The sequence below is a fragment of the Homo sapiens genome, chromosome 2 (assembly GCF_000001405.40).
Source record: "Homo sapiens chromosome 2, GRCh38.p14 Primary Assembly".
Classification (NCBI taxonomy): domain Eukaryota; kingdom Metazoa; phylum Chordata; class Mammalia; order Primates; family Hominidae; genus Homo; species Homo sapiens.
The window spans coordinates 200242961-200246721 of NC_000002.12; the positions used below are offsets into that span (position 1 = coordinate 200242961).

General features: G+C 41.5%; 1 annotated feature.

Annotated features, from left to right (window-relative positions):
• Nucleotides 1600-2799: an enhancer, noted in NCBI's record as "BRD4-independent group 4 enhancer chr2:201109283-201110482 (GRCh37/hg19 assembly coordinates)". NCBI's record gives its function as "activates an origin of replication core promoter dependent on BRD2, P300/CBP, MED14 and CDK7 cofactors, and independent of BRD4, by STARR-seq in HCT116 cells {active_cell/tissue: HCT116}" and the evidence as "EXISTENCE:reporter gene assay evidence [ECO:0000049][PMID:35650434]".

The window sequence follows — 3761 nt, forward strand, 5'->3', positions numbered from 1 at the left end:
ATATGTTTATTGGGGTGGTAATTTCTTTCTAATTAATTCCAGATTCTATCTCTTAGAGGATGCCCAGCCCACATGGACCCACAGTCTCCAACATGGGAATGATGTGGACACTGAAATCATTAAATCAAAGAATGTTCTCCCTCCCTAATATTTGGAAGAAACTTTTAGCACACACACAAAATAAGTGACTTTAGAATACTTCATCAGTTGAGCTAATCTGCAAATAGCAGAGCGTTTGGTTCTTACATGCATTGGGCTGATCACCAAACTAGATTAGCTCTACAAATGAAAGGCATTTTTCTTTATGAACCAGTTGAAGAGAGATGTCCCAGTTATGAAAACATTTGCAAGAAGCTCTGAGCTTTTGGCCACCCTTTTCAGACCCCCTAGACCCTCTCTGTGGCACTTAACTGGGTTACCTCCCTTTCTAGCTATTAAATTTTCAGACAGGCCCCAGATTATGCTCTCAAGAATGGATCCAGTGACTATTTGGGTTTTCCCCCCCACAATACGTTCCCGGAGACGAAGCCATGCTGTGCCAGCAACAGACTCGTCAGAAGAGGCTGCCTCTCAGTTGTGCTGTGGGTGCCTTGAGATCCAACCGAGCACTGCAGACGGTTTCCCTCCAAGCTTGAGACTCCACTGTGTCCAAAAATAACTAGACAGGCAGGTTTGGATCTAGGAAACTTTTTAGCTCATAGACATATTTAATAATGGAAACATTGGTCCAAAATTTCCTACAGAGACCTCTGCTTTGGAAATGGTTTTATTTATATACATAGCTACAAAAATACCATTTTTGAAATAGTTACGTGGGGCCCAGTATTTAATCTTTTTGTAACTTCTAGAGAAGTTCTTTTTACTGGTAAGATCAAAAACTTTTCTGTTTTTCTTCAGCAACCATGTCTACAAACATAACCAAGACTACAAAAAAAAAAAAAAAAAAAAAAGTAAAACAGAGCCCACTCATCTACTTCGGGTTTGATGCTTCATTGATAAGGACTTTCTTTTCCTGAAAATCTGGGCGCGTTTTGGTCTCTTTTGTTTTTCAGCTACTCTCCTATATTTAGACAGGCAAAAATTGTTGCGGATATTTTTATTTCATTTAATGCTTAGCGATGCCGTATTGTCATTATGCTGCTCAAAATAAGTTTCATAATTCTTATAATTCCAAGGGAGTTTTGAATTCCCTGGAAAATGTTGCAAAATGTTTTAAATCTCATTAAATCCAAAAAATACTCTTTAATCAGCAGAATGTGAACCACTCCATTTTCCATTTTCCAACATCACCTTAATTGACTCACAGCTGAAGTCCACTGTTACTGCTCCAACACTGGATGGAAAAAAAAAAAAAGTAGGCATTTTCCTGTAGCAAAGACAGTGGGGACCTGAGCCAAAACCAGGAGAAGCAGTAAGAGATCTTCCTTTATTAGATCTTTTTACATTTCAGACTGGTGCTGAAAATACAGCAGCAAACAAAACCCAGACCTAACAAGCTCAGAGGAGAAACAGACTTGGGCTTTGAAGGTGTGCGATTCAAGGACTGGCTCTGCTACTCCTGGTATAAACTTTAAGTTACTAAATTCCACAAAGCCTGTATTTTTTCGTCTGTGAGATGGGGGCAATAACTTCCTGCTTTCCTATCGCCAAAATTATTTGTAGAGTCAAGTGATGTATGTTACATATAGAAGTACTTTGTAGGCTGGGCCCAGTGGCTCACACCTGTAATCCCAGCACTTTGGGAGGCCGAGGCGGGCAGATCACCTGAGGTCAAGAGTTCAAGACCAGCCTGGCCAACATGGTGAAACCCCCGTCTCTACTAAAAGTACAAAAATTAGCTGGGCGTGGTGGTGGATACCTGTAAACCCAGCTACTCATGAGGTTGAGGCAGGAGAATCGCTTGAACCTGGGAGGTAGACAGCCAAGATGGTACCACTGGACTCCAGCCTGGATGACAGAGCAAGACTCTGTCTAAATTTTTTTTTAAAGGTCTTTGTAAACTATTTAGACTCACAGAAACACAAAATATTACTTTCACAAACAGAAATGGAGTAAGCTATTTTAGAATTATACCTACTATAATTTCTTCCAGGTTATGAAATACTTTTTAATTTTTCTAATCATTTTCCTAGTTGTGGTTAAGAGACTATTGCTGCAGTAGAGGAATTTTCTGCCTATCCTGATTTTTGTCAAGAGGATTATCAGAAGGCAAGACTACTGAACACATGTTCTGTTACCTCTTTCACATGCAGGACAAGCATACAGGAACTCTAACAGAATGCAGTATCGCCTGCGTGCCAGCCAGGCCCTGCGTGAAGCACAGCCTCCAGTGCTCTCTCTCCAGCTGTTGGGTGTTTTCTGGATTCAAATCACTCACTGTCATGACAAGCAGACCCTCCAATATGTATAATGGCACAAATACAAGAGAAGTTTACTTCTTGCTCATATGAACACCAAAATAGGTGTTCCTGAAGGGCAGAGGCTGTTCTCCAAGCAGCGTCTGAAGCACCAGGCTAGTTCCATCTTCTGGCTTCACCATCTCCAACACAGAGTTCCCAAGGTCAGTAAGTTCGTCTGCATGGAGGCAATAGCAAGAGAAGAAGAGAGCGAGAAGACTCACTTGCTCCTTAACCACTTCTGCCTGGAAGTGATGCGTATCACTTCTGCTTACACTCCACTGGCAAGGACCCATCACATGGTCCCATCTACCTGCAAGAGGAACTAGGAATTAGAGTCTCTGGCTCTGAGCCATATTATGAAGTCATAGCTTCATAATATGGAAGTCATAGCTTCATAATATGGAAGGGGATCATTAATTTTGGTGGACAATTTGTTTGCAGTCTCTGCCACAGTATCACTTACACAAAAGGCCCAAGGAATATCACAGCTGAAGAGGACCTAGAAGTTATCTATCTCAGCATTTCTTGAACTTTTTTGACTATCACCTACAGAATGAAATAAATCTTACATCACAACCCAGTATACCACACATGTGTGAGTATCTGAAACATTGTATAAAATGTTATTTCCTCTCAAGCATGATGCACTGGTACTTTCTATTCTTTAATTCCATTCTATGTAATTTTCTTCTTTTTTGAGACAGAGTCTAGTCCTGTTGCCCAGGCTGGAGTGCAGTGCACAATCTCAGCTCACTGCAACCTCTTCTTCCCATGTTCAAGCGATTCTCCTGCCTCAGCCTCCCGTGTAGCTGGGATTACAGGCACCTGCCACCATGCCCGGCTAATTTTTGTACTTTTAGTAGAGACGGGGTTTCACCATGTTGGCCAAGCTGGTCTCGAACTCCTGACCTCAGGTAATCCACCCACCTCGGCCTCCCAAAGTGCTGGGATTACAGCCGTGACCCACTGCACCTGGCCATAATTTGATATTTTTTATCACTAGTTTTGATGCACCAACTTGATTTCTCAACCTACTATTGGGTTGTGACCCACATTTGGGCCGAGCTCATTATTTAGAAATGACACAGATGAGGTTTGGAGGAGGGGTTCTGTGACACACCTGAAGTCACAGGTAGTTGAAGCAGTGTTGGGCCACACCTATAAGCATTAGCCATTAGACTAGGGATTCTTTTTTGTTTCAAACAATATGTTATTTGGTTAAATTTTAGATCAAGTATGTTTTGTTGTTGTTAATAACATATCATTTATTTAACAAGCAGAGAGCAGTCTCATCAATGTCATTGAGGAAGTATATCCATTAGCACATTTGCTTATGGCCTCATGGTGGCAAAATGGCTGCCA